Source organism: Homo sapiens, chromosome 7 (genome assembly GCF_000001405.40).
Source record: "Homo sapiens chromosome 7, GRCh38.p14 Primary Assembly".
In the NCBI taxonomy this organism is placed as follows: domain Eukaryota; kingdom Metazoa; phylum Chordata; class Mammalia; order Primates; family Hominidae; genus Homo; species Homo sapiens.
The window spans coordinates 147,998,431-148,025,640 of record NC_000007.14 but is presented as its reverse complement, the minus strand read 5'-3'; the positions used below and the strand labels follow the sequence as shown (position 1 = coordinate 148,025,640).

At 39.0% G+C, this 27,210-nt stretch overlaps 1 protein-coding gene across 1 annotated transcript in view, besides 4 other annotated features; it reads right to left on the bottom strand.

Annotated features, from left to right (window-relative positions):
- CNTNAP2 (contactin associated protein 2) overlaps positions 1-27,210 on the bottom strand; it is a 2,304,198-nt gene that overhangs the window by 395,358 nt on the left and 1,881,630 nt on the right. The window lies entirely within an intron of this gene.
- Positions 4,452-5,238: an enhancer, noted in NCBI's record as "OCT4-NANOG hESC enhancer chr7:147717495-147718281 (GRCh37/hg19 assembly coordinates)". NCBI's record gives its function as "activates a minimal SCP1, AML or CMV promoter by ChIP-STARR-seq in primed H9 embryonic stem cells {active_cell/tissue: H9 hESC(primed)}" and the evidence as "EXISTENCE:reporter gene assay evidence [ECO:0000049][PMID:30033119]".
- Positions 13,483-13,984: an enhancer, noted in NCBI's record as "NANOG hESC enhancer chr7:147708749-147709250 (GRCh37/hg19 assembly coordinates)". NCBI's record gives its function as "activates a minimal SCP1, AML or CMV promoter by ChIP-STARR-seq in naive H9 embryonic stem cells {active_cell/tissue: H9 hESC(naive)}" and the evidence as "EXISTENCE:reporter gene assay evidence [ECO:0000049][PMID:30033119]".
- Positions 24,914-25,569: an enhancer, noted in NCBI's record as "OCT4-NANOG-H3K27ac hESC enhancer chr7:147697164-147697819 (GRCh37/hg19 assembly coordinates)". NCBI's record gives its function as "activates a minimal SCP1, AML or CMV promoter by ChIP-STARR-seq in naive and primed H9 embryonic stem cells {active_cell/tissue: H9 hESC(naive and primed)}" and the evidence as "EXISTENCE:reporter gene assay evidence [ECO:0000049][PMID:30033119]".
- Positions 25,570-26,226: an enhancer, noted in NCBI's record as "OCT4-NANOG-H3K27ac hESC enhancer chr7:147696507-147697163 (GRCh37/hg19 assembly coordinates)". NCBI's record gives its function as "activates a minimal SCP1, AML or CMV promoter by ChIP-STARR-seq in naive and primed H9 embryonic stem cells {active_cell/tissue: H9 hESC(naive and primed)}" and the evidence as "EXISTENCE:reporter gene assay evidence [ECO:0000049][PMID:30033119]".

Here is a 27,210-nt window from a genome sequence, read left to right as displayed (position 1 = left end):
GGACCATAGATTGTTTTGAGTACTAAGGTAACAGGAAGTATTTGTATAGCAGCCTGATGGGTTAATCTTGCCTGCTGCTCAGAAAAGTCAATGCATTGAGTATAGCAGGTATTGCAGCAAAGAAAGAACTTAATTATTGCAGGGCCAGCCAAGAGAAGGATGAGAGATAGTAAAACTTGGAGGCTAGTGTTTTTCAAGGTAATTTGGTGGGTAGGGGGATGGGGAATGGGTGCTGCAGATTGACTGGGGATTAAATCATAGGAATGTCCAAAATGGTCTTTGTGCACTGAGTCAGTATCTGGATGAAGGTCACAGGACTGGTTGAGCCAGTTCCCTGGTATGAGTCTTGGGTTCAGGTGGCATCAGCTGGTCAAACCAAATGCAAAAGTCTGGAAAATACCTCAAAGCCCAATCTTAGGTTTTGACCATATGGATATTATCTAAAGGAGCAGTTGGAGAAGTTACAAATCTTGTACCTCTGGAACAATAGCTGGTTATTGTTTAACTATGCATATATCTTAGCAGAATTCAGGCCCCTCCCATAATCCTAATCTTATGTCCTTTCATTAGACTTACAAACATGGTTTCAGTCCCTAAGCAAGGAGGGGTTAGTTTCAGGAAGGGATGTATCATTTTTGTTTTAAAGCTAACAAAGTCAGCTAGCTTGTGAGGTTAGAAGCAAGATGGAGTCAGGTGAGATTCCTCTCACTGTTAGAATTTTTGCAAAGGCAATTTCATTTGCTTCCACCTCTGACTGCTTGTGAGACATGAAGTTCAGTCCTTGAAACTCAAAGAAAGGAGAAGGCAGGGGGCTTCTCTGGTGTGGCCCAGAGAAAAAGATGGCTGCCTGTGAAGGACTTCCTGTACTTTGATGGATATGAAGAATAATAACATCCCGTATGCAATTTGATGATTCTCACCTTTGCTAAAAACTTGTAACATGCTATAACAGAATTATATTAGTTGGGTTATAGTGTCTGTTTTGGGGGTCAAATAATGTAGAAGAAAGCTAAACATTAGCAGCATGGTAATAACATGTTGAATAGTGAGTGTAAAAGTTGGGTCCTTCCTGAACACTCCTGGAAGTCATTGATAATGTGAGGAACAAAGCTGGGTTTCCTAGAGTAAAGTATCATAGCGGACTGAAGCACTTTATTCAGATAGTAATAATGAGGGAAGCCCCCAAGGCTGAAACATTTGGAGACACTGTGTTTCCAGTATCATGCAGCTGCTTTCATAGCTAGAAGTGTGTGTACACCACACTTCGTTTTCTTTCACTGTGGCTAGGAGATAGGGAGGAGAACAATGGATGAACAAACATGCCTAGCGGGTATGGAGGCCACAATTTCCAAATTAACTGATTTATCCAGGAAGCTGAGCTCTAACTACTTGTGGTGTCTGGAATTTTTCATTCTGTATCTAGCCAGCTCTCCAAGGATTAATTCTCAGGATGTTATAAAGTTTTTTTTTTTTTTTTTTTTTTACACTTTAAAGGTTGATCTATATGGGTGATTCACAAGTGCAAGAAGTGTGTAGTAGACTATTTGTAAATTGTACTCCCAAGGATATAGCATAAAAAGGCAACACTGTCTACTTCTAGATGTTGTTATATAGTCAGGACAGTGTCAAGTGCAGGCCTCCTTTTATGTGAATTTGAAAGATCTTTCAGTTCTGTAACATGAAGTCTTATTAAGTTACTCTTATGGCCTTTCCCTTCTTCACCACAAATGCAATTTCAGCATCTAGAGAGTTTTGTATTTGGGAGGAAAATTCATAAAATCCCAGAAGGTAGAGTTACAGGACTTTCCAACTCAAAATGTAAATTATGAATGCTCATAAAAGGAGGACTTTCAGGGAGTTGGTATAAAAATTGATGTGTGGACTTTAAAGGAAGTCCCAGGGACAGCAAACAGCATCCAACTTCATCCAATGGCTTCATGTGCCACAAATCAGTAAGTTTAATCTCTGACCTGGCACCTCACAGAATCCACCAAGACATCTCACTCAAGAAGCTGGTGCAGCTGTGTGTGCATTTCACAGTGTGAAATGAAGCGTTTATTGCCTCATCTCCCCTGATCTTCAGCAGCCTGGGTGCATTGTCACCTACAGGGCTATTGGCATTTCTTTCCCAATTCAGGCAAACATCCTCCAACCAGACAAGAGGAAACACTCAGGGGAACAGAAATAAAAAGAAACATGGAGATTCATTATAACAAAACAACAGATGAATATTTAAACTAATTTAAGTATGACCAATGAGCTGCATAAACTGTATCATTAATCACTCCGGCACACATGAGCTTGCTTTCTGGGCTAAAAATTATGCCATTAAAATTCAGTGAAACTTAGTCACAGTGCATCTCTCTCTACTGAACACAGTTAGCTTTGATTATTCCCAGGCTTATAATGTATTTTGTGCATCGCTCAAGAGACATTTGTCTCCCCTTTTTGCTTTTGGGTAGGGAAACAATGGAGATATTGGAAACGGGTAATTTCAGAGGACCTATGGGAGCTGCGGTTTAATTCAGAATGACTTGTCTCAGCTTTCTAACATCTTTATAATTGTCATTATGGCAGTGCTGTGTGATAATGATGATGGCAGGGATGGGGATTGCTATGAGTGACACCCAAAGAAGTGACTGAGCACAGTAGTCTTAAGCTATTACTGCCGATGAGATATTTAACGGTGCTGTACAGGCAGTGTCACAGGGATGCACTTCAGGGGCGTCTGTTTTATATTCAGATTTCAAGCATGAAGACACTCTTTCTGATAATCGGGCTTCGAAAGGTCTGTTCTCATCGTTATTTTCCTAGCACTGATGATCGGGCAGACGGTGTGGCTACAAGAGAAACTGCAGACACAGGAAGGAGGTCCTGCCAGGGAGACGAGAGCATTAGACATCCATTCGCAGAGTCCAAAAAAAAACCAACCAAACAAACAAAAAAGCAAACTAAAACACTCCACGAACAGTAATAAGGGAAAAACAAAAACAAAAACAAAAAAACAGGCCACGCCAATGCAGCCCAGACCAAAACCACACAGGGCACACTGATGGAACCCGGGTACTCCCATAGCCATGGTCACTAAGACTATTACTTATTCCAGAGGCAGAAGCCACACTGGATATTCTTACAGATTCTTTTTCTTTTCTTTTCTTTTTTTTTTTTTTTTGAGACGGAGTCTCCCTCTGCTACCCAGGCTGGAGGGCAGTGGCACGATCTCGGCTCACTGCAACTTCCGCCTCCCGGGTTCAAGCAATTCTCCTGCCTCAGCCTCCTGAGTAGCTGGGACTACAGGTGCCTGCCGCCACGCTCGGCTAATTTTTCGTGTTTTTAGTAGAGACGGAGTTTCACCGCGTTTCCCGGGCTGGTCTCGAACTCCTGAGCTCAGGCAATCTGCCTGCCTAGCCTCCCATAGTGCTAGGATTACAGGCGTGAGCCACATTTTTTTTTTTAAACCCTCTTTTTGTCATCAAAAAGCCTTGATTTAAAGAACCCTAATGACAGGTTTACATATAATACTTGGATCAGGTTGGGGCAGAGGCTTTGGAAATGGGAAGGGAGGAGAGAGGCTGCAGGCCTAGAAAGAGAGTGTCCAGGGAGAGAGAGCAAGATAAGTCCCTATCAAAACCATCGTCGAGTGGCCACAGCCTTCTGTTCCTTTGGGTCCATCCTTTCCACCCACAGAGGAGACGGAGGCAGCGAAGTAGTGCCTCTTGTGACAACAAAACAAAAGGGAAAGGTGGAGCAGGTATACCGTGTCTGATGCCCTTCCCCACGCTCACCCGGCCTCCGCCACTGACTCGGTACAGCTTTGGAGCAATCCTCCAGGTTTTGGGGGAGAGGGTCCTGATCTCCCAGGTCTAAGTTTGGTGCCCTTCTCTGCGAGCCACCGGGTTCCTGCACTGTGAGCACATTCCTGCATTCCTGCCACCCTGTCTGCATTCTCTGTTCCAAGTCCTCTGAGAGCACAGAGTAGCTTTCCAGCTCACCGGGGACTGGATCCCCAGGGGCTAGCGCCGTCTCTCGCAGGTGGAGATGCCCAATGATAGTTGATCCATTGAATGAACACGAGGCCTTCCGTTCTCCCACAAGTCAGGTGTTTTCTCCACTCTGGCACCCTAGAAATGCTTCTCATCTTTTAGGATTCAGCGTTAGGGACATCTAGAAAGCTGTCCCCCGTGTCTCCCTATTTATGTAGACTGGCTATGGTCTACTTGGGCCACCCTGGGCTGACTTCCAGCATAGTGCAGCTCACATTTTATTTTACTTACCTGTTTACAAGACTGTGTCTTCCTTCTAAACCATAAGCCTCTTTTGGTAGGGAGTATGTCTTATTGTTCTTCCGTGTCCCTAATACGTGGCCGACAGTGGCACATAACAAGTGTTCAGGTGTGTTTAATAAATTTATTTGATATGAGGGAGAATAAGTCCAAAAACAAAACAAAAACAAAAAACCTCCACCAACAAAAAGGCATCCTACCTTGATTCTGAAACTGCTTGTCCAATCATATTGCCATTATTTTTCCTTTTGGCTTTATTATTAGAAATTCACTCAACAGTCTACAGAAGGTGAAAAAACAAAACAGGTGCTAATGAAAATATGATGTCTTCCTGCTTAACGTGGGCACAAGGTGGAGAAGAAGAAATGCAAGAAAGTATTCAGTAACCGATTCAATGATTGACGGTGTCAGCACAAAGTGGCAGGTGGCGCCTGTTCTGGGGAGTTGCTTAAGATTTACCACATTCTTGTTTTTGACCTTTTTAGCTTTTCTTTAATTACGGTAGCATTCAAGTCATGCTGGGCTCCTTTTTTATGCTCACCTCAGGAGACAAACACATTGTGTGTTACAACAAAGTAGTCGGAAGGAAGATAATTAAAGGTGTTTATTGTTAAAAAATAAAGGAAGATACAGTTGCTTTGGCTTAAGCCAGATTCTATGGTTTTAAGGCAGATCATAAATATATTGCAGGAAAAAATATCGTTTTACTGAAACTGTGGGGTAGACAATCATATAATTCACTCCTTCTTTATTCACTTAGTCCTCCCAATGTTAAAAAAAAGAATAAAATGGATTTAACTTGTGTATTTCTTGACCAAAATTAATACGAATTCTCAAAGATGATTTATCAGCAGAGTGAGAATATGATAGTAAAAGTTCAGTCATTTATCTTCACCAATCACAACTTGCACTTTATTTTGCCATATTATATATTTGAGGGGAAATATGCCTGCCTAGATCACATAGATATACTATACAGTAAACTTGAACATGTAGTTAATCGGAGACTAGTGATAAAAGTAAGATGAATTACCCTTGTTTTTCTTTGTTTCCAGTATAGAAGATAAAACTTTCTTTTCCTTGTTTTAGCATGCTAGTGCAGGTGAAGATTTAAAGAAGAATAAAAGTAGCCCCTGCCTCCAAAAGGTGTGTAATCCAGTATAGAAAACCAAGTGTACTGCTGATGATGAGGTATGCCTCAATTACATGGCAACTAAAGGTGAAGCAATATCCTTTGGCTTCTGGTTACTCAGAGAATTAAATAATACTCTGGCCAGGTGTGGTGGCTCATGTCTGTAATCCCAGCACTTTGGAAGGCCAAGGCTGATGGACCACTCCTGAGGTCAGGAGTTCAAAAACAGACTGACCAACATGGTGAAACCCTGTCTCTACTAAAAATACAGAAATTAGCTGGGCGTGGTGGCAGGCACCTGTAATCCCAGCTACTTGGGAGGCTGAGGGAGGAGAATCGTTCATCCAGGAGGTGGAGGTTGCAGTGAGCTGAGATCACGCCATTACACTCCAGCCTGAGTGACAAGAGTGAAACTCCATTCTCCTCACCCTCCCCTCACACCCCTCCCCCCAAAAAAAGAATACCCTGAGAATGGGCACGATGGCTCACACCTGTAACCCCAGCACTTTGGGAGGGCAAGGCAGGCGGATCACTTGAGGCCAGGAGTTCGAGACCAGCATGGGCAACATAGTGAAACACTGTCTCTACTAAAAATATAAAAAATAGCCAGGTATGGTGGCATGCACCTGTAAGTCCAGCTACTCAGGAGCCCGAGGCACAAGAATCTCTTGGACCTGGGGGGTGGTTGCATTGAGCCAAGATATCACAACTGCACTACAGCCTGGGTGACAGAGCTAGACTCTGTCTCAAAAAACAAAACAAAACAAAACACAAACACAAAACAACTCTGAATGAGGGAGATTACAACAAGGAACTGAAGAATCAATAAGATATTGGGAGGCAAGAAGCGAAAGCAGCATTCCACACCTGCACATAGGAAGGTTTCAGGCCTGTTGGAAGGACACTGGGTGGTCCAGGTCCTGGATCCCATAGGAGACAGAGAATTCCCAGACTGATGCTAGGAGGTCCCCTCTGAGGAACCTAGAAGATGAAGACCAGGAGTGATTTGGGACCACACTATGGGGGAATGTGAATGCCATGCTAAAGAAAATGCAGTGGGAATTCTTTGTAAAATGATTTTCACATCAGTGAGATCAACAGATGCATTGCTAGGTGTAAATCCAGCAGGTATTCAGGGCTGAACTCTATAGCTGACTGTACCAGGCTGTGGGAGAGGCAGGGAGGAGAGCCAAGATGGGGACAGAACTTGCCACCAAAATAATGCTGACAGTTTTACATAGTGATTTCACACAACTCTATGTTTGGAAGAAACCTTGGCTTCACTGGTCTTCAGATTTCTGGAAGCTCTGGATCAATTTAGAGGGAAATGGATATTATGACCTACTTCTTCCCACAATGTTTGAGTTCAGGAAAATGAACTTAACAAACAAAAAACCTTGTGAGAAGCACAGCCTGTGACATTGTTTGATGCTGTTTTGTGGTGAGAGTCAAACTCTGTTTGTGCCAAAAATGAGAGCATGGGACTCCTTCCCACGACAAAGGTCTGGGCTGGAAGCCATTGTGGAGGTGCTCCGGGATACCTGTATCCGGGAGTGACCCTTGATCCCGGTCACTTTTGCTACCGAGTAAAAGGATGCTTCAGTTTTCATCTCCCAACATACCCTGAATGTTCACTGTAGTTTCATCCATAACTTAAATCCCTCCAACATTCATGCCTTCTCCTTTTCCATTTTATTCCTTGTTTCATACACTTCTGGTTCATTGTGTGAGTTTTTCCCCTTAGCTGTTAGTACTTGGTTTTTGAAATATGTTTTTGAACATTCAACCAACAACATGCTTATATTTACCGCCATCCTTTAGAAATGAAATTTCTGCCCCCAGCACAGATAATCACCAGATTCGATCTTACAACCATAAATATTATAAATAAATAAACTGAAATTAAGAAATTATGGGAGCTTGACCATTACTATTATCAGCCCATATTTACAGAGTCCCCATAAACCACCTGGGATGAACACCTCAACAAATCAATAGTTAGCAGCAGTTTCAGTTAGGCCCTGAGTCCGTTAAATACCTACAGAGGTTAGATGTGAAATTGGTGTCAGAAATTGCAGGTACCAGTCGTGTTATTTTCCCCATTCTGATGAAAAACAGTTTCTAGGGAGCAGTAAGAGTTCCTGAGATAGTGTGAGAGAGTTCTTGGAATCTGTGTGCATCTGTGAATGCTTTTCCCTTTCTGCCTTTGTGGCGAGTTTTAACAGAAAGCGTTTTGTGTTTTAGAAAAACCTGCACAAGAAGATTAAAATGTCACTCGCTGCCTTTAACAAAGATAAAAACCAAAAGGCTTAAGCCATTACCATTTTGGGTAGCCGAACTTATTTTGGCCAGGCATATTCTTTCACCTGTTCTGAAGCAACGTTTTTCTCAAATACCATGTATATTCGCAAGAGGGTTAAAAAGGCTATTATTTACGTCATTCACTGGAATGTAATATACCACTATCAGTTTTTAAATTACTGTTACATAGATGGGCATTTCTTGTTAATCTCCATAGCGGAAGATCTTGACCATACGCTTTTCTGAGTAGTGTTGCAATGGTTTAATCTGAACTGGTTTAGATCCCAGTCAGACACTACTTACCAATTGGCTACTACTTAGATTCTAGTTCTAGTTTATATTCTAAAACTAGAACATATATACAGAATAGATTTTAGTCAAATTTCATAGTTTATAAACCAAGCTAAGATTTCATTTTAATTCACATTATTAGTATTCTTTTGGTCTTATATATTTAGTTACTATCAATTTTTAACATAAGCAGCCTTTTTGTATGCTAGATATAAAAATTTTAACAATTCCAAGTCTCATGTAAACACAAATAATTTTGTTCTCTCTCATATCTGCTTCACTTTGAAATGTTTACTAAAATGTAGTTTATCAGATGAACTGTGATAAGTTTCATAACTGCTGTTACCACAGTTCGTCTGATAAACAAAGAAGCTACATTTTAGTAAACATTTTGACAGATTTTGGAAAGGATTTAGGTGTTCAGGGAAAATGCCCATTTCCCTTTTGCATGTCTCAGTGACCAAGCTGAGCAACCATACGCAGATGAGAAGCTCAGGTGCTGAGATCCGGGCAGGACTGCTGCTGAGCTAATGCAGTTGGTGTAATTTATTCTGACCATCTATCAAGAAATCTTGTGTTTTGTGTCTAGCATCATTACAGTGCATAATATATGAATCAGGTTTGATGAAATATCCTTCCTGAATATTTCTCTTCAAATCCTGAATAAATAAGACTTGCTTTTTTTGAGATTTTTAGAGAGAGAGGGATGCTCTATCCATAGCATCTATTAGTCAAGAAAGCTGAACAATTTGACAGATCTGCAGAAGAAAGGGAAGGAATGCTATTCCAGAAATACCTTCCGTCTTAGAAATCTCCCATTAAAATGCTATAACTTAGGACCTAAGAGCATGAAAAAACCTCTGTGATTAGGGATATATACCTTCCTCCTTGACAACCAGAAATTTCCCTACTACCAATACACCGAAATGTTAGCTGGGTAGTATGATTATGGTAACTTCTTCCTTCTTTAAACTTCTCTGTATTTTCCAGCATTTTGACAATGAGCATGTGTAACTTTTGTAATCAGAAGAAGAAATTATCTTTAAGCAAGCAGTTTCTCTTGCGAAGCTCTGTGATTTTGCTGTCTTCTTTCACGTCTCCACCTCTGCCTCTCTTCAGTGTCTTCCCCCAGATAAGCTAGACATGCACAGTTTGATATGAACGCTGCTGAAGAGTGGTACTGTGCAGGAGCTGGTGTCACTGGAGCATCCAAGTGTCATGGGAGTGGAGACAGAGTGACAGCGGCCACAGTAGGAGAAGGCACATGTGGGAAGGCCATATCAAAGCTATCAGAATAGTTAACCCAACACAAGTCAGGCACCTGGGCTGGCATAGGTGGACAGAGGTATCACAATCAGCTCTACCGCCATGCAGAAGTCAGGAGTTTGCAGTGTAAACAGACTTCCCCAGGAGGGGATGGGCATGTCCACCCCGGTCCTCTACAAAGGACGTGGAGATTGGCAGGCAGGTGCAAGATGCTGGGTGTCTTCATTCAAAACTGGTGCCCGAATTGCCAGGGCATGTGCTTTAACATTTGGAGCCCAAAGGAAATAGAACTGTGCAGATCAACCACAGGACCTGTCAGTTTTCTCAGCTTCAAAATACTTTCTTGTAAATGTAGTTGTAAGGGAAAGCTTGGAATCAAATGCTAAGTACCCCTTTCATTAGACTCTGATTCCATGGATTTGGATAAAGGGAGTTGGTGAATTGGAAAGGATTAGAATTTGAATTCCTAAAATACTGAAAATATGTATCTTAATTCACCAGATCTACAAAATAGTGTTGAAATCTCTCACCTGGAAACTTTCATTTTAAAAGCTGCTGACTAATCTCTTTGTCTTCTGGATTGAAAAATCCTGAAACAAAAAATCAATTTTCTTACTGGCATTAAGGCAAAATGCATGCAGAAGGATCTGTCTCTGGCGTAACATGCCCTGTTGAGGATGAAAGTGGTTGGTGTGTGTTGGGACCTGGGGATTTTTAAGAGAAACTTGGAAATGGGGTTCTAATGTTTCCAGGTCAGTTAGCACACTGGATACAAATTAAGGGATGCTAAATAGTGTGGAGGTTCCAAATCATACTGTACATCTGGGCTGTGATCACTTGCACAGAACAGTAGCAGCAAAAATGCTCGTTCTCTGTGACACTGGGTCTCGCCGATGCCCGCCTTCCTGATTTGGGGACACAGGCGCTCCTCTGTGTCCTTGGATTTAGGAGCAGAGCCCACTGTGCGGCCTTCACTGCAGGAGAGTTGCTTCCTGTCTGTTGAGTTGAATGTGACACAAAAGGAACCTTAGGAAGAACTGGGGAGATCCAGCTCAGCTTGGAGGACATCAGCCCTTACACATCTGATTCACTAAAAATTCCATTAAAGCTCTTTAGCAGCAAAGAAGTAGGCTGCTATTTGCATCTTTTTTAAAAAAATACTATGTAATGTTCTGCAAATTAAAGGGGAAGATCATGGATTTCCTTCATGCTTATGGACAGGTATTTTCCATCAGATACATTGACAGCCATGGACAATGCTGTTACAAATAAAAGTGTTTACCCTCAGGAAAAACAAAAACAAAAAAACATGCTATGTGGGCTTATAAAAACTCAAAGGCTTGCTTGTGGGGCTCAACAATCATAAATAATAACAGATAATGCTTTCTCTTAACATCCTTCTCACAAGAACTTCACATAAAAATAAAACCTTCCCTAATTTTCTTTACTGAAGCCTTCTCTCTCAGCTGGGCTTCCTTCAATTGCTCTAGCAGGCACTAGACTGTGGTCTGCCCTAATTCCAGCAAGGCGCTGCAGTTGGCTGATGTTTTCTAGTTGGTTCCGCTGGATTGCTTGCTTTCCTTTAACCCAGAGCTTTTCTTTCTTTAATTATTATTGGCTTCTGTTGAGATCTCCAAGCTGTACTGAGTGGATTCTCAGTGATTCACTAATGGATTTCAAAACTGTTCATTCTTCGAGCTCTTTATATCAACAAGGGGCAGCTGGTGACTCATACTCCAGGTGGATTTGTGGGAAGTGACCACGCCTTTGTTTTGGTAATATTTGGGGAGTAACAGAGCTATCATTCTTGGCTAAAGCAGCCCATTATATCAGTAGAGTTTGAAGTATGGATTTAGGAAAATTGGCCAAAGTTATGGTAAATGGTGTTTAGGATCTCTGCCAGATTCTAGTAAATAATTCTATAATAAACAATGATAGTATTGCATTCATCAAATGCCCCTTCTCCAGGTGTCTGTGTGAAGTTTTGTTACGGCTGCTGTTTATTGGAAATAAAACTGTATTCCATTTCAAAGCGGTAAAAAGCCCATTGCAAGACCAAGTCAAAGAGAGGTGGTTTTTTTTTTTTTTTTTATGTTTACTTGCTTAAGTTTCTTTTAAAAAATCATGTTCAAGTATCAAGTTTAAAGTCAAATAATACTGGGTGGTCGCCAGCTGGTGAGTGGGTTCTGTTCCAGATTTTCGTTTGTCAACTCGATGTTTGTAATTCAGAGCTCGGTTTCCCATAAATGCTATAGTGAGTGACTTCCAAATGAGGACTCCAATATCTTTAACACCAACTGAAAGAAAATGAAATGATTTGTGTGGAGAACTCAACATTGGAATCATTTGGGAATGCTGCATTATTACATATATTTCTGAGTATTATCATATCTATGGCTCAAAAACCCAACCATGGTTAATTTCCTTGTACCAAATTATATCAGCTAACTCTACCTTGTTTCCGTGATCACAGTCCTCCATTTCAGAGCAATTTAAATTTTGCTCAACTGCCACCAAGAAATTCCACAGAGGGCCATATTACTCATGCTGTTACTTAACTTTATGACAAACAATACCATCAAACTTATTTGCTGTCCACATCAGGCACACTTGTGTACGTAATCAATAGCAAGTCCTACATTTTCCTTTGTTGCAGGGTGTGTAAGTCATGGATACAAATTGATTAGGCTAAGGTGATCAGGGGAATTCTATTCCTCACACCAATAATTGATTTTCCTGGGGTTGGCATATGATTCAGTAATTCAATTTTGGCCAATAATACACAAGAGGAAGTCCACTTAGAAATTTTTAAGAAAGTGTTGTATTTTTTCTTCTTCAAACAGAGAGATCATAAAATAATAAACTCTTTTCTTCTGCTGGGTATTATGTCTCTGTCTCCAGGTGATGCCTGGGACTGTGGTAGCCATTCTGGAAGAATGAGGTTTTAAGGAATATGATGTGAGCACAAGATTTTTTGGCTTCCTTCAAATAAAATGACAGTTAATACCTCTGTCTACTTAAGTTCTTGCGCTGTGGATATATTGGGCATTCACCGTTGACAGCACATAATCTGCTTACTTAGAGGTTTAGTGATATTTTAGTTCTACTATTTATTCTGCATGGAAGAAAGTCCTTGAAACCAACACACTGGAACAATACCTTCTTACCTTGAATAAGGTCAGTTTGAGAATGAGTTTCTATTGTCAGCATGTTGGTGTGGGGGTGGAGAAAAAGGAAAGTACATTTAATAAGCTTCTCCTGAACCACATCTTTTCCTCATAATTTCAGCACTGTGAACACCCCCAGATGATCAACTCCTTGTTCATTTAACTGGGGTTAATAATTGTCACTCACGTACAATTACAGAAAAGCAAATTTAAACTAACAGTTTACAAAAGGGAGGCTGAATGGTATAATTTGAAAGCTAGAAAATTAAAATTTCTCTCACCCTTAACCAGCAGCTCCACCTCCACCAACATTTCCTACAGATATACTCTACATAGCCACACAATACATGCCAGGGTATTAGTGTAGTATTATTTGTTGTAGCAAAAGAGTCAAAAGTAACATTACTTTTAGCTTTGGAAGTTAGCTATCGGGAACTTGGAATTTATGGAAGAAAAATAAAAGCTTAATTAATTCTTGATAATTAAATGAGAGTGAGGAGTGTGAATGTTTTACACTTTTATTATGCGTGTGACACATTTTACTAGGCAACTCTGAATTTACTTATGAGGTTTCATTTTGTTTTTATTCAGAAAATAGTCTTCAACTCTTAAAAAACAATTTTTTTATTGTGGTAAAAACACTTAACATGAGATCTACCCTCTTAACAAATTTTGAAGAGCACCATACAGTATTGTTACCTACAGGCACAAGGTGGATCAGCAGATCCCTAGAACTTATGCCTGTTGCATAACTGAAATTTCACAGTGGTTGGACAGCAATGTTCCATTTCTCCATCTCCCCAGGCCCTGGCCAGCACCATTCTACTTTCTATCCTGGTATTATGACAGACTAGGGGTTCTGAAAATCTCTAAAATAATTCCCACAAATGCTGCATAAAAATTAACAAGTGTCTTTTTTAAGGTATAGCTGGGGACTCGAAAGAGCAAGATAAATCCCAATGGTAGAAAAAGAAGGGGAAGGGTTGGGTATGATGGCTCATGCCAGTGTAATCCCGACACTTTGGGAGACTGAGGGGGGAAGATCACTTGAGGCCAGGAGTTTGAGGCCAGCCTGGGCAACAAAGCAACATCCCCTCTTAAACAAAGAAATAAACAAAAAGGCAAAAACCAAAAAAATGGGGAAGAACATCAGAGTGGTGAGCTGGCCCTTAACTGGGGACATTCCTTTATCTTGGAAAGCGAGAGGATTGAATTGCACAGCATTCCAGGGACAGGAAAGTGCCCTGGGCTCCCCTGTGGTGGGAATCTAGAGGATGCACAGGGCTGAGGCCCCTGAAGGCTACATCTTCAATGATAGGATGTTCTAGGAAACACAGCTGACTACTGGCCATAGGAAATGTCTGTCATCTGTCTTGGCCAGAATACTGAATAAGGAAGAGCTATTCTCCTGAGAGTTCATAACCACAGGCCTGCCCTCACAGAGGTCTACAGTTTGAGTATACACTACTTGAGAGTCCAAGAAAAGCCAAGCCAATAAATGAACATAAACCCAACCTAGATTATGTATCAAAGCACGTGTATAAGCAAATCCAAATCCTGTTGAGACAGAGCAACATCAACCTAAGACAAAATGAGTCTCACACATTGCAAGGTGCAAGGGATAAGCAGAAAGATAACAAAAATACCAAAACAGATGAGGAAATAAGCCACTGTGAAAAAGTGCCAGAAAAACCCTCTAAACCCTCAAGGTAATGTAATAATTATAAAAAAGATACAAAACAAATATACTTAAGACACTTGTAAGACAGACCAAAAGAAATGAAAACCGTGAGAAAATAATAAAATACTCTCTAGAGAGTGGGCAGGTTTAAAATGTACCAAAAGGAAATTCTAGAATAATGATGTATAATCAGCAATAGCCCAAACTGAAAACAGGATACACAAATACTGATATATTTATATGATGGGATACTCTACAGTGATAAAAATAAATGGACATAACTACACACAAAAACTTGAATATCAGAAACATAACGTTGACTGAAAGAGGTCAGACACAAAGAATTCACACTATATGATTATATATATACATATAATTTCAAAAAACAGAAGCTATTGACTTTTACATTGTAAATGGATGAATTATATGTAATGTGAATTCTGTCTCACATTATCAAAAAATTACATTTCTATCTATCAGCAATCATTAGAAAAAGTAATTTATTAAAAGATACTATTTGCAGTAGCAAAATTTGCATGAATTTTAGTTAGAAATTTTAAGAACTTTATTAAAAATCAACACTGTAGACTAAACTCTATCAGAAACCAAGTTCTATTATGAAGATGTATCACTAGCACAGTATGAAATTTGTGCAGCATTGACAATGTGAACAAAGGAAAAAAATATAGAGCCCAAAAGAGACCCTTGCATGTATAAAAACTTGATGGATGTTGACAGTAGGGGAGACTGTGCATATGTGGGGGCAGAGGGTGAATGTGAAATCTCTGTACTTTCTATTCAGTTTTGCTGTGAACCTAAATTGACTCTAAAAAATAAAGTCTAATAAAAAAAAAAAAACCTTGATGTATGACAGAGGTGGCTTTACAGTTCAGTGGAGAAAGAATTTTTCCCATGTTTGATGATGGAAAATTTGGTTGTATATGTGTCAAAAATAAGAAACTGAACCCTTAGATTATACCATTAAAAAAATTGAGTTCCATGTATTTTAATGACCCAAACATAGAAAACGGTTAAAACTTTTAAAAGAAAAAAGACATCATAAAAGAAAAAAGGCATGAAGCACAAAAGATAATATTTTTATGACATAAGACACAAAACATAAACCAAAAAGGAAAATGGATGAATTCTACTATATTCAAATTAAAACTTCTGCACATCAAAATATATCATAATTCAAATAAAAAGACAAGACAAAGATTAGGAGATGACAGCTGCAGTATATACAAATTATAAACATTAATATTTGGTTTATGTAAATAATATATATTAATATAATTATCAAAAGATACAGATAACTCATATTTGAGGAAACTTGAAAATATGCTCAGTCTCACCCTTAATCAAGAAAACCCAAATTAAATTAGTTTAGCCTCATTCATTTATGTGATCAGATTGGTAAAATGGAATTTGCCAATACTAACTGTTATGGAGCAAGTTGAGTCAAAATAAAATTAAAACTTACTTGAAAGTGTAAATTGGGAAAACAATTTGGAAATATCTAATAAGGTTTAAAACTGAATAACTCCACACCTAGATATAGTTACCTTAGAGAAATTCTTGCACATGACTACATGGAAGCAATAAATTAATTCTCAGAGGAGTCATATTTGCAAAAATAAAAAACTGAAAGCAATATATATTTTCAATAAAGAATACATAAATAACTTGAAGTGTAGTATAGTCATGTGAATGGAATATCATAAAACAGAAAAAGAAATAAACGGTGACTGCATACATTAATAAGAATAATCAGAAACATTGTTTGAATGTAAATAGCAAGTTCATAAAAGGATAAATATTATATGATGGCATTTATTTAAAGTTTGAAAATATGCAAAACATACAGAGCACACACATACACATACACACACAAAGAGGCAGTCCTTGCTTTGCACACACTTTAATATGCATAAATTTCAGTTACTATAGTATAGGTAAATATACCAGTCTCCCAACATGGTTCAAATTTTAGTTACTGTGCTATACTAAGTTTGAGTAATTGCATAATATACAAATTTAATTATGCATATGTATAGTGTTCAAGTTTTGTTACTAGCTCTCCTGTCCAAAAACACTACAGATGAACCCTGACTTATGACAGTTTGCCTTAAAATTGTTGTACTTTAGGAAGGTGCAAAAGCCATATGCATTCAGTAGACGCTGTACTTTGAGTACCTGTACAACCATTTTGTTTTTCACTTTCAGTGCAGTATTCTATAAATCACATGAGATATTCAATATTTTATTACAAAATAGGCTTTGTGTTAGGTGATTTGGTCCAACTCTAGGCTACTGTAAGTGTTCTTAGCATGTTTAAGGTAGGCTAGGTTAAGCTATCATGTTTGGTAGGTTAGGTGTATTAAACGAATTTTCAACTTTTGATATATTTTCAACTATGTGTTTTCTATGGATTTATTGGGACATAACCTCATTGTGCATTCAGAAGTATCTATACAGAAATAACAGATGTGCATCATGATCAGTGACCAACCATGTCACTTCTTTCAAAATCTATTAAGGGTTTGTTACTCCACATAATGTTATTCTTTCCACACACAGCAAAGCATGTGGTTATGTTGCCTCCTTGTTTCCCAGTGATAAGCCCATATAACACTTTACAAAACTGGACACGAGAAGGGAGAATTGGCTAACTAAGATAAAAGTGCATCAAGAAACAGAGAGTGATGATGCTGAAAGTGAAATGTGAAATGAATGTAAATGGAGTTATAGAAGCAATAGCTGAATGTGTCATTGTTTCAGAGACTCCAGATTTGTAGCCAGAGGAACTCAGGTTAAATGAATTGAACTACACAAATAAGGAAGGTGGTTGTGACCCCAAAAAGGATGAAGCTGTCTCACAGGAAGTGACACTGGCATAACATTTCGCATTAAAGGAACTCTCAATGATTTTTCATGACATTGAAAGTGGAAAGGATAAGATCTTGGAAGCCGATCTAAACATGGAAAGAAGTATGTCAATAGAAACAATTTCTTGATCCATATTGTAAGCTGTACAATGAGAAGAGGAAAGGAAGCAGGTTCTAATTACTCTTGACAGATTTTTAATCAAAGAAAACACTTTAATCTCAATGCTTCAAATGTTTTTTGCTTGTTTGTTTGTTTGTTTGAGATGGAGTCTTGCTCTGTCACCCAGGCTGGAGTGTAGTGGCGTGATCTCCACTCACTGCAACCTCTGCCTCCCAGGTTCAAGCAATTCTCCTGCCTCAGCTTCCCGAGTAGCTGGGATTACAGGCAACCGCCACCATGCCCAGCTAATTTTTTTTTTTTTTTGTATTTTTAGTAGACATAGGGTTTCATCATTTTGGCCAGGCTGGTCTTGAACTCCTGACCTCGTGATCTACCCACCTCGGCCTCCCAAAGTGCTGAGACTACAGGCATGAGCCACTGTGCCCGGCCTCCTCCTACTATTTTTAAGGATCCATGTGATTAGATTCTACCTACCCAGCGAATTGCAGGAAAATCTCCGCATTTATAGATCCTTAATTTAGTCATAAGTGCTAAATCCCCTTTGCCATGTAAGGTCGCATATTCACAGGTTCTGAAGATTAGGATGTGGACATCTTTGGTGGCGGACATTATTCTGCCTCTCACAGATACCTTTTTAGGCCAGGAGCCATAGAAGAGTTGAAGTTCCTTGCATAAGACCTAGACATTTTATTGTGTCATATATTTAATGAGTATGGAATGCAAGTAAATCCAGGGTTGAAAAATACTCTTACACACTTCATTTGGAGTTTTGAGTAATGATACAAGGGAAGCTAGAATCATACCCTAAAACAAAATACTTAGAGCAGTATAATCACTATTGACACATTCCTACCACCAGTGTAATAAACCATACAGCACAAGCTCAATCAAGTACCCTAGTCAGTTCTTATGGTACTTAGTCTACGTTTGGGAATCAATGAATTTTTAGTGATTCCAAAGCCAGCCTCAAACCTATGTTCCCAGAGATTTGGTGAAAGATTTCATTTTCACATTTCAATATTATTTTCAGCCAGAAGTATGCATAAATCTGTAGTGTCAGGGCTTTAGATGCAGTGTAGCTTATAAGACAGATTATTTCTATATTGTCAACATAAAAGACTGCTTACAGTGGAGAATAGCTTACTTCCTACATAAGCAGCACAAATTATTTATCTGAACTTTAAAGAATGTAATATTTCTACTCTGGTAGACTATTAAGGCAATTGAAGTAATCCCCCAAGTACAACGAAGTCCTACATTTTCTGAATTTGCTCTGTTTTGTTGATAGCATGTAGATGTCTTCTGAAATATGTTTACTTGATAAAAGACAAGGCACAATTTTCCATCAATAAACTCATAAGACAAAGAGATGCAATAATGAAATGCGTAAAGCACATGTACTGCATGTGGCTGGTGCCATCAATGTGGAAGAGCTGCTGAATTGTTTGGCTCTTAGGCTTTTCCAAGTCAGTTAAGAACTGCTCTCTGAAATGACCCTTGTATTTATATAAGGCCAATCAGAGGCACAGATGATTCTTCATAAACATGTAAGTCAAAGATGTAATAGTCTAAGAAAGATTTGCTAGAATGTTCTATATATTCCCATGAAGTGCAATGAAGCTTAGCCTCAACCTGAAGATACAAATTACTGTGAATATCTCACTTGAAAATTGAGTGAAATTATTTGAATTGCCCACTTTCATGAAAGAACGGAATATGATTTAGAGATTTCTTCCATAAATTCTTTTTCTTTTTCCTCTGAGCACATGCTAAAACAAACGAACTAAAGAAAAAAAAAAGAAAATTATTATCATGAGCCCCTCAGAGTCAAGTCTGTAAGCCTAACTCAGTTTTTTTTTTTTTTTTGTCTGGGATATAAAAGTTACTATTATGGCCGGGCACGGTGGCTTATGCCTGTAATCCCAGCACTTTGGAAGGCCGAGGCAGGCAGATCACTTGAGGTCAGGAGTTTGAGACCAGCCTGGCCAACATGGTGAAATCCTGTCTCCACTAAAAATACAAAAATAGCCAGGCGTGGTGGCGCATGCTTGTAATCCCAACTACTCAGGAGGCTGAGGCAGGAGAATCACTTGAACCTGGGAGGCAGAGGTTGCAGTGAGCAGAGATTGTACCACTGTACTCCATCCAGGGCAACAGAGCAAGACTCTGTTTCAAAAAAAAAAAAAAAAAAAAAGAACTTCCTATAAAGCTTATTGGCATAAAGTATAGGCTACTAGGCTATTTCTCACAGAGTATTGTTTTTTCTTTCATATTCTCTATTTCGCTACACCAATATCCCTGCTTTCAGAAGTTGGCACTGTTGCCCCTGTACCTGGGTCTGATCCTGTTTTTTTATTAGCCTTTGGGCTCATAGAGTATGACTTAGATACAATGGATATATGGAGATTTGTTAGTAATGGGTTCATCTTTTTGTGTTCTATATTGTGTCCATTTTTTTTCTAAGATCACGACTATGTGTAGGATTTTATAAAGTGATACAGACTTGAAATCAGTGCTGTCTGGAAGGGTCATAGACCCTCGTGAGACTCTATTGAAAGCAGGGACTGTGAATCCCAGGAAAAGAAACCTTACAGGATTACACCTAAGTACCATGGCTCACATTAAACCATCTTAGAGAATATTGGCAACTGAATCAAAACAAAGGTCTCTTCAGTAACAAAGCAATAATACTTCCAAATCGTGCTGGACCACTGAAGCAGCAAAACATGCACTCATTGGAAAATGAGGACCCTCAGTAGCTGACTGGCTGTTTTGGGCCAATTTATGATAAAGTCCTCATGGATCATATATTTCTAAAATAAGATTGAGCTTTTGGAGGGAAGACATTTGTATGATGCTGTTTCACCTTTAGCCCCAATTTTCCAGTTTATGACATCTGCACATTCCTCTTGGTGCCACTCAGCATTCAAGTGCCCTTCTCCACCTCCCCTTCCTTGACTGGATGCAGGGCCGGTGAGCAGACCCCACAGCAGGGCTTTGGGAAGAGATAACAGTGGCGATTGTTTACCCTGTATGAGATGCTACATTATGTGACACATAGAGCCCATGATGTCTGCACAGCACCCCTTATCTTCCACTGCTATGAACTGAATGTCTGTGTCCCCCACAAATTCCTATGCTAAAACCCTAATCACCAATGTAATGGCATGAGAAGGGGGGCCTTTGGGGATTATTAGGTCTTTAGGATGGAGCCCTCATGAGTGGGATTAATGCCCTTATAAAAAGGGGCCCTAACGAGCTCTCTGGTTCTTCCCACTTGGGAGGATATAAGGAGAAGTTGGCAGACTGCTACCGAGACGAGTGCCCTCACCAGAGCCTGACCTTGTTGCCAGCCTGGGCTCAGGCTTCTGGTCTCCAGACCTGGGAGATACAAATTTCAGTTGTTTATAAGCCACCCAGTCTATGGTATGTTAGAGCATCCCAATATGACAAAGACAGCAAGTGACCTGCAAAGTCTGTAACTGTGAATATGGGGATAGTACATAAGAAAGAACAAAACTCAATCCATTTAGGATCAGGATGAGAGTAGAATTCAGCACCTTGATTTACTTTGCAACTCCCCCATGCTTGCCTCATAAGCTAACTGGATTAACTCAGGAAGAGGAGATAGATGCTTGATTATTGAACATTCTTTCCTGGAACAGGTTGTCAGGTACTCCACCTTTCTTCCTGTCTGAAACACTGAGAAAAACTCGAGTTCTATTTAAAAATCTAACCAAACTATAATAATGAGGTTAAGAGGTTAGAACATAAAACATTTCTGTAATGAAAGATGAAGCATTTTCATTACATATTAAAGAACAGGGCTGAAGAAAGAAGCTTTCTTTGTTTATAATGTTTTAAATAGGTACTCCACTGGGTCATTTGTTGTCTTATGAGAACTTACTGGAAAAGGTTCCACATGAAAAAATGAGAAAAAATAATTAATGTAGGAGACTAAGGAACTTGTATGTAAATGAACAAAGCTTCTCATATTTCATAAAGATATTCATATTCATTGAAAACTTTGCACAATGCCTGCCAGAATGAATGTATTATTAGCTGTGTTCACATAATTGAGCTTTTCTTATTAATATTTTTAAGACTTAAAAGGCTATTTTAATTCTGTCATAAATCTAAGAAAAATTTATGTAGTAATAATTCAAATTTACACCTATATGATTTATGTAAAGCAGTCAATTGAGAAATACTTTTTTAAAAAATAGAAGGCTTAATCACATACTAGAAACTGTGTTCTAGGGTTGGCATAATTCTGAAAGAATTTGAGATATTGGAATATTTTCTTTATCATGGTTTAAAACATGCCTATATTAAGCTGATAGCATACACATTACATGCAGAAAGATTTTGTATACTTATTACAACTAAGAAAAATTGATTTATTAGCTATATAACTTCATTTCATTGGCTTTACTTCTAATTTCCTCTTGCAATGATTTAAATATTTGATGTAACCTCTTATTGAATGAACTTTTGTAAGTTAACATAAATCCTTTCTCAAATCAATTAATAAATCACTTAGAGTTGTAATAGATATTTTTGTTATCTTCATTCAAGAAATATACATATTATAATCCTGATTAAGCACAATATTTATGCTAGGCACTGGCCTAGGCATTGGGAATACAGAGATAAATAAGAAGTAGCTTCTGCTGCCAAGAGGCTAATTGTCTATTTATCTTAATTAGTGAAACCCCTAAGAATGAAATTTATTTCTAAGGAAACTAATCAAACAAGAGGATAAATCTTTATCTAAACTTAACAAATTGTGAAGTTTTTTGAAGGAGAGTGGTTAGCCATACAAAATAATTTCTTTTATACCAGGTTTCTACATATGCTTATCTAATAGGATTGATAATTGGAACAATCCTAGGGAAAGATAGAATGTCTTTTCAATTTGTCTTTTTCCCCAGTCTTGACCTCTGGTGCCCTCTCCGATTCTCAATGGTAACCCCTTCTCCAACCTTGGCTCCTCAATACTTCTCATTCACGGAATCAGAGAGGAAGTATGCTTGCTCTTGTACTTTTGTGATTAAATTTAGGGTGAATAAATTTCAGTCAATATTTAGCAAATTTTTTTTCCTCTAATGTTAAAATGAAAGGTTAGGTTAGGGAGATTTTAGGTTAGAGAGATTTTAAGCATTAGCAAACAGGAAGTATTAGGGGCTGGGAGAAGTACCTTGGAAGCATATCTATCCCACTGCAAAGTCTTTCCCTAGTAATTCTGATCTCATCCCTTCAGGTGACTGGGATAAGAAATGGTTAGCAGGACTGTGTGTTTTATCCTGAATTCCTCCAATCTAGGGCCCACTGCTTCCTTGGGAAGGACACATAGAGGTTGATGCTCCTTGAGAACTCTTCCTAGGAGCTACTAAGCATGTGCATCTTCCTCACTAGTTCTTTCCATATCATAGAACCTGCACTGTCAGCACAAGGCTTTTCTAATCGCCTTCTCTGTAGGCCCACTGACTGCTCCCCGTGCTGATCAAAATACCCATTTCATCTTTCTTCCCCAGGTCACATATCTGAACACAAATGGCCTTTTTGTGTTCAACTGTAAACAAATTTATGAACTTAAATGTTTATGTACTTACACAGTAGCCATTCCTAATTTTTAAAATTAAATAACAAGTGTACCGGTAACAGTATTACTTGAGCTCCCTCCATGTCTAAACCATCATGCTAGGCTCTGTGGCAGATACAGAGATGAATCAGATCCACTCCTGGTCCCCAAAACACTTGCCCACCAGTGAATGAGCTTAGGTCGTACAAAGAAACCATGGTGGTTGACTGTGAGAATTTAAAGATCCTAACCTAAAATAATGTATTTTCTTACATTATTTTTTCCTCCAAAAAAATCAAGGTTTTGGGCAAAATTAAATGTGTCATCTAAATGAATTTTACAGGCTAACTAGAGTATTTTTTAAGAGAAATAATTAATTAGCATTATAAATGGATAAGAAATGTTGGTTCCCAAATCTGGCATTCTTGGCATGGGGACTACATATAGCCTTCAGAGGGTTTCAAATCTCTTTAAAATTATATGAAAAATGTTGTGTTTATATAAAAGTGCGCATTTTTTTTCTAGCAATGAGGGTCATAGATAAGGAAATTCTTAAGAAAAGGTAAAGAGCCATTGAAATGCTGGTTCTAAATATATATTCAGTCTATCAAAGCTTTATGAAGTTCCTGATGAACATTTTGCTGTCATTTTGAAAAAGCGTATGCTTATCATCTTCCTACCATGAAAATACACGTGGCTGGAGGGTGGATGGGAGAAATGAAGGAGAAAACATAGTTAAACCATCAAACTCTAAGTATCTTGTAGAAATTGGGAGATGTTCTGCTTTTCTCATAATAATTAACTATACATGCAACTAATTATGGTGCAGAAAGATAGCAGCATCAAGCCATGGAGAGAAAATTTGTGAACTTAATGATCTTTTTTAGTAGCAAAATAATTTTTTCAGGAATAAGCTTTATGGGCATAAAATGACTTATGTTTAATAAAAAATGTACAGACATAGAAGATATCATCCATTTGGAAAACCATAAAATATAAGGTGAGCATGAATTGATGAATAATTAAGCTTATTTCTGAATACAAGTTAATAGATGAAGCTTATTTAACAGCTAAACCATTAAAAAGTACCAACCTGAAAAAAATAGACCAGAAAATTTTACAGAAATATTTTTGTAACTCTTTTATATGCTCCAATAAAAATACTTTATTTGAAACATTTTTCTCACCAGTACCTAGCTAGATGGCTTCATAGACACATTGGTTATCAAAAGAAGAAAATCATCCTCATTAAGATGCACATTAATGTATAGCTTTTCTACTATCCAAATATACATAACTCTCAATTTATGCTCATGTATAAAGCATCTTGAGCAAGAAGAGTCCTAATTCTTTTATGTAATGTCATTCTGTGATTGACAACTCCAATGATTGCTTTTGTGACATTAACCACCAAGTCGTCCTATACTTTGAAACACATTGTTCACAAGATACTAGAAAAAAAATTGAGTAACAGTGAAAGTGCTATCTGCAATAACAACAATGTGATGGGACCTTCCAGGTGGGCTGCTGAGAACTCTGCTAGGTGAGTCACTGCCACCAAATCTGTTCGACGCAGTGTAGAGCCATGTTATCCGCAAAGAGCTGTGCTGAGAGCCAGGCTGAAGGCTAGGACCCAGGAGACACAGTTGTGGGGCTCCAAGAGCTGAGAAGCTTTCCAGTAGATCCTGTTCTCTTTTGAACTAGGTAGATGTTTCTTGGCCATTGTAGCAGGTTGAATATCATTCCCCATTCCCAAATTCATGTCCACCCAGAACCTCAGAGTGTGACCTAATTTGGAAACTGGGTATTTGCAGATGTAATTAAGCTAAGGATCACTTGAGATCACACTAAATTAGCGTGGGTCCTAAATCCAATGAGACTTTCCTGACATGAGACAGAAAGGACACTTGAACACACAATGAAATCCTTGTGGAGACAGGCAGAGTTGGGAGTTTTGCTGCCATAAGCCAAGGGCTGCCGTGAGCCCCCAGAATCTGGAAAAGTCAAGAAGGGGATCCTCCCCCAGATCCTTCAGAGGGATGTGGCCCTGCTGATGCTTGACTTTGAACTTCTGGCTCCAGAACTGTTGAGAGAAGTCGCTCTAGTTTAAGCCACCAAGTTTGTGGTAATTTGCTAAGGCAGACCTAGAAAACCAAACTAGCCATTATCTTTTCCTCATGTTTGTAAGTCCTCAGCCCGTAATGGCACTGAGGAATCTAGTCTGCTAGAATTCAGCCAGGGAATCTTTCTCTTGTTATACAAAAGAACTAGTTTTTGTTGGGGTCTGGTGCAGCCTTGCTAAACTGTAAAGGCTGAAAGTATGGGCTTTGGAGCCAATTTGCCTGGGTTAGATTCCAGCTCTGTCATTCACTGTGTCACTTGGAGCAAATTACTGAATCTCTATCATGGTTTTCACGTCTGTAAAATAAGGGTAATAATATGACCTTCATGGACTATATACTTGCGAGGATTAAATGAGTTGATTTGTGAAGTGCTTAACTAGATCTGACACATGGTAGATACGCAACAGATGTTATCTGCAATCATTATCATACAATTATTATTATGTGATCATAGCTGTCAACATCATCCCGGGGTCCTAAACACAAAGGCTTCTTCCCCTCTGGAGGGCAGGCATAGGTAGCCATGCCCATCATACAGAGGAGCACCAGGAATGGAGCTTGCTTCTCCTACAGAGAGGAGAACCCTTTCTCTCTCAAGACACTGCTCTGCAGGGGAGCGGTGGGTGTCCTCACTGACTCCGCATCAGACTGAAGTACCTTCCCTTTATCCTTTCAACAACTGCTAATGGTCCTTTAACCATAACAAACACAGCCCAATCCTCTTGGAGTTGAAAAGACCACTTGAATTGCGCCTCCACATTCTTTGATTAGGAAGTCACTGTATTAGGCTCCTCAGGCTACTTTAACAAAGTACCAAAAACTGGGTGGCTCAAATCAACAGAAATTTATTCTCCCACAGTACTGGGGGTAGAAATCCACAGTCCAAGTTGGCAGGGCTCATTTCTTCTGCAGATTCTGAGGGAGAATGTTCACCCGTGCCTCTCTCCCAGGCTCTGGCAGTAGCCGGCAATCCTTCATGTTCCTTGGCTTAAGGCAGGGCAACTGCAAAATTGCAACTTCTACCTCCATTTTTTCATAGTGTTCTCCCCGTGTGTGAGAGTGTGTGTGTGTGCGCTTTCTCTTCTTATAAGGCACCGGTCATATAGGGTTAGGGCCCACCCCAATTCAGTATGGCCTCATCTTGACTTGATTATATCTATAAAGACCCTATTTCCTACAAGATCATATTCACAGGCATGAGGGGATACGACTTCAACATCTCTTTTGGGGAATGTTATTCAACCCACAACAATCACTGTTCATTCACTTATAAATGAAGCAAAACAGAAAAGCTAGCAGTCATCAATAATTTTACAGATTTATTAAAAATAGTAAAATACTACTTTTTTCCAAGCATTCTTACACAATTAAGAAAGGCTTGTCTAAAATGAGTAGCTTTTAAAAGTCTTCTTAAAAAAGATTTCTACTGGCCGGGCATGGTGGCTCATGCCTGTAATCCTAGCACTTTGGGAGGCCGAGGTGGGCGGATCACCTGAGGTCAGGAGACCATCTGGCCAACATGGTGAAACCCCGTCTCTACTAAAAATACAACAATTAGCTGTGTGTGGTGGTGCGTGCCTGTAATTCCAGCTACTCAGGAGGCTGAGGCAGGAGAATCACTGGAACCCGGGAGGCAGAGGCTGCAGTGAGCAAAGACTGCACCACTGCACTCCAACCTGGGTGACAGAGTAACACTCTGTCTCAAAAAAAAAGACTTCTATAATGAGAATATAACAATAAGTTTTAATTGTGTATTTTCAGTATAGCGTTGTTGGATGTGGAACCTACTGTAAGCCCTTTATTGAATTACATCATTTTATTGGCAATGTTTGTTTTATTTGTTTAAAAAACTACATAGGCATAGATCTCTGCAACTAAGCACAAGTGAAGAGTTTAATATTTTAATTAAAGATTAAAGGTTTTATTTTAATTAAAGATTTCCCACTCACCCCTCCTATTTCTGGCTAACAAACTCCCCACTGTCTACAGACTATCTTCAGCTCTGGGATTATTGGCATTTGTCGGTTTTTCTGGTTCCAACTCAGGTCTCATTTTCTCATTCAAGTATTTACTGAATGCTTACTGTGTATGTTTGCATATTTTTCTACAGGAAACTTTTGCTTCTTTACGTTTGGCTAATCATTGTCTAATATTCTCCAGCTCAAGCCTTCTACCCACTCCACCAATCCCCACGGAAAATGGTCTTTACTCATTCTCTTTGCTTTGCCCTTTAACCTTTATGTGTTTCCTTTTAAAGAGATGCATCTTCTCACCTCTCTAACTTATCCTGAAATAGATGATCAATTCCTTGATTGCAAAAATCATCGGTCACGCCTCTGTATCTGCAGCCTGCTATCAATGAGGCAGGATAGG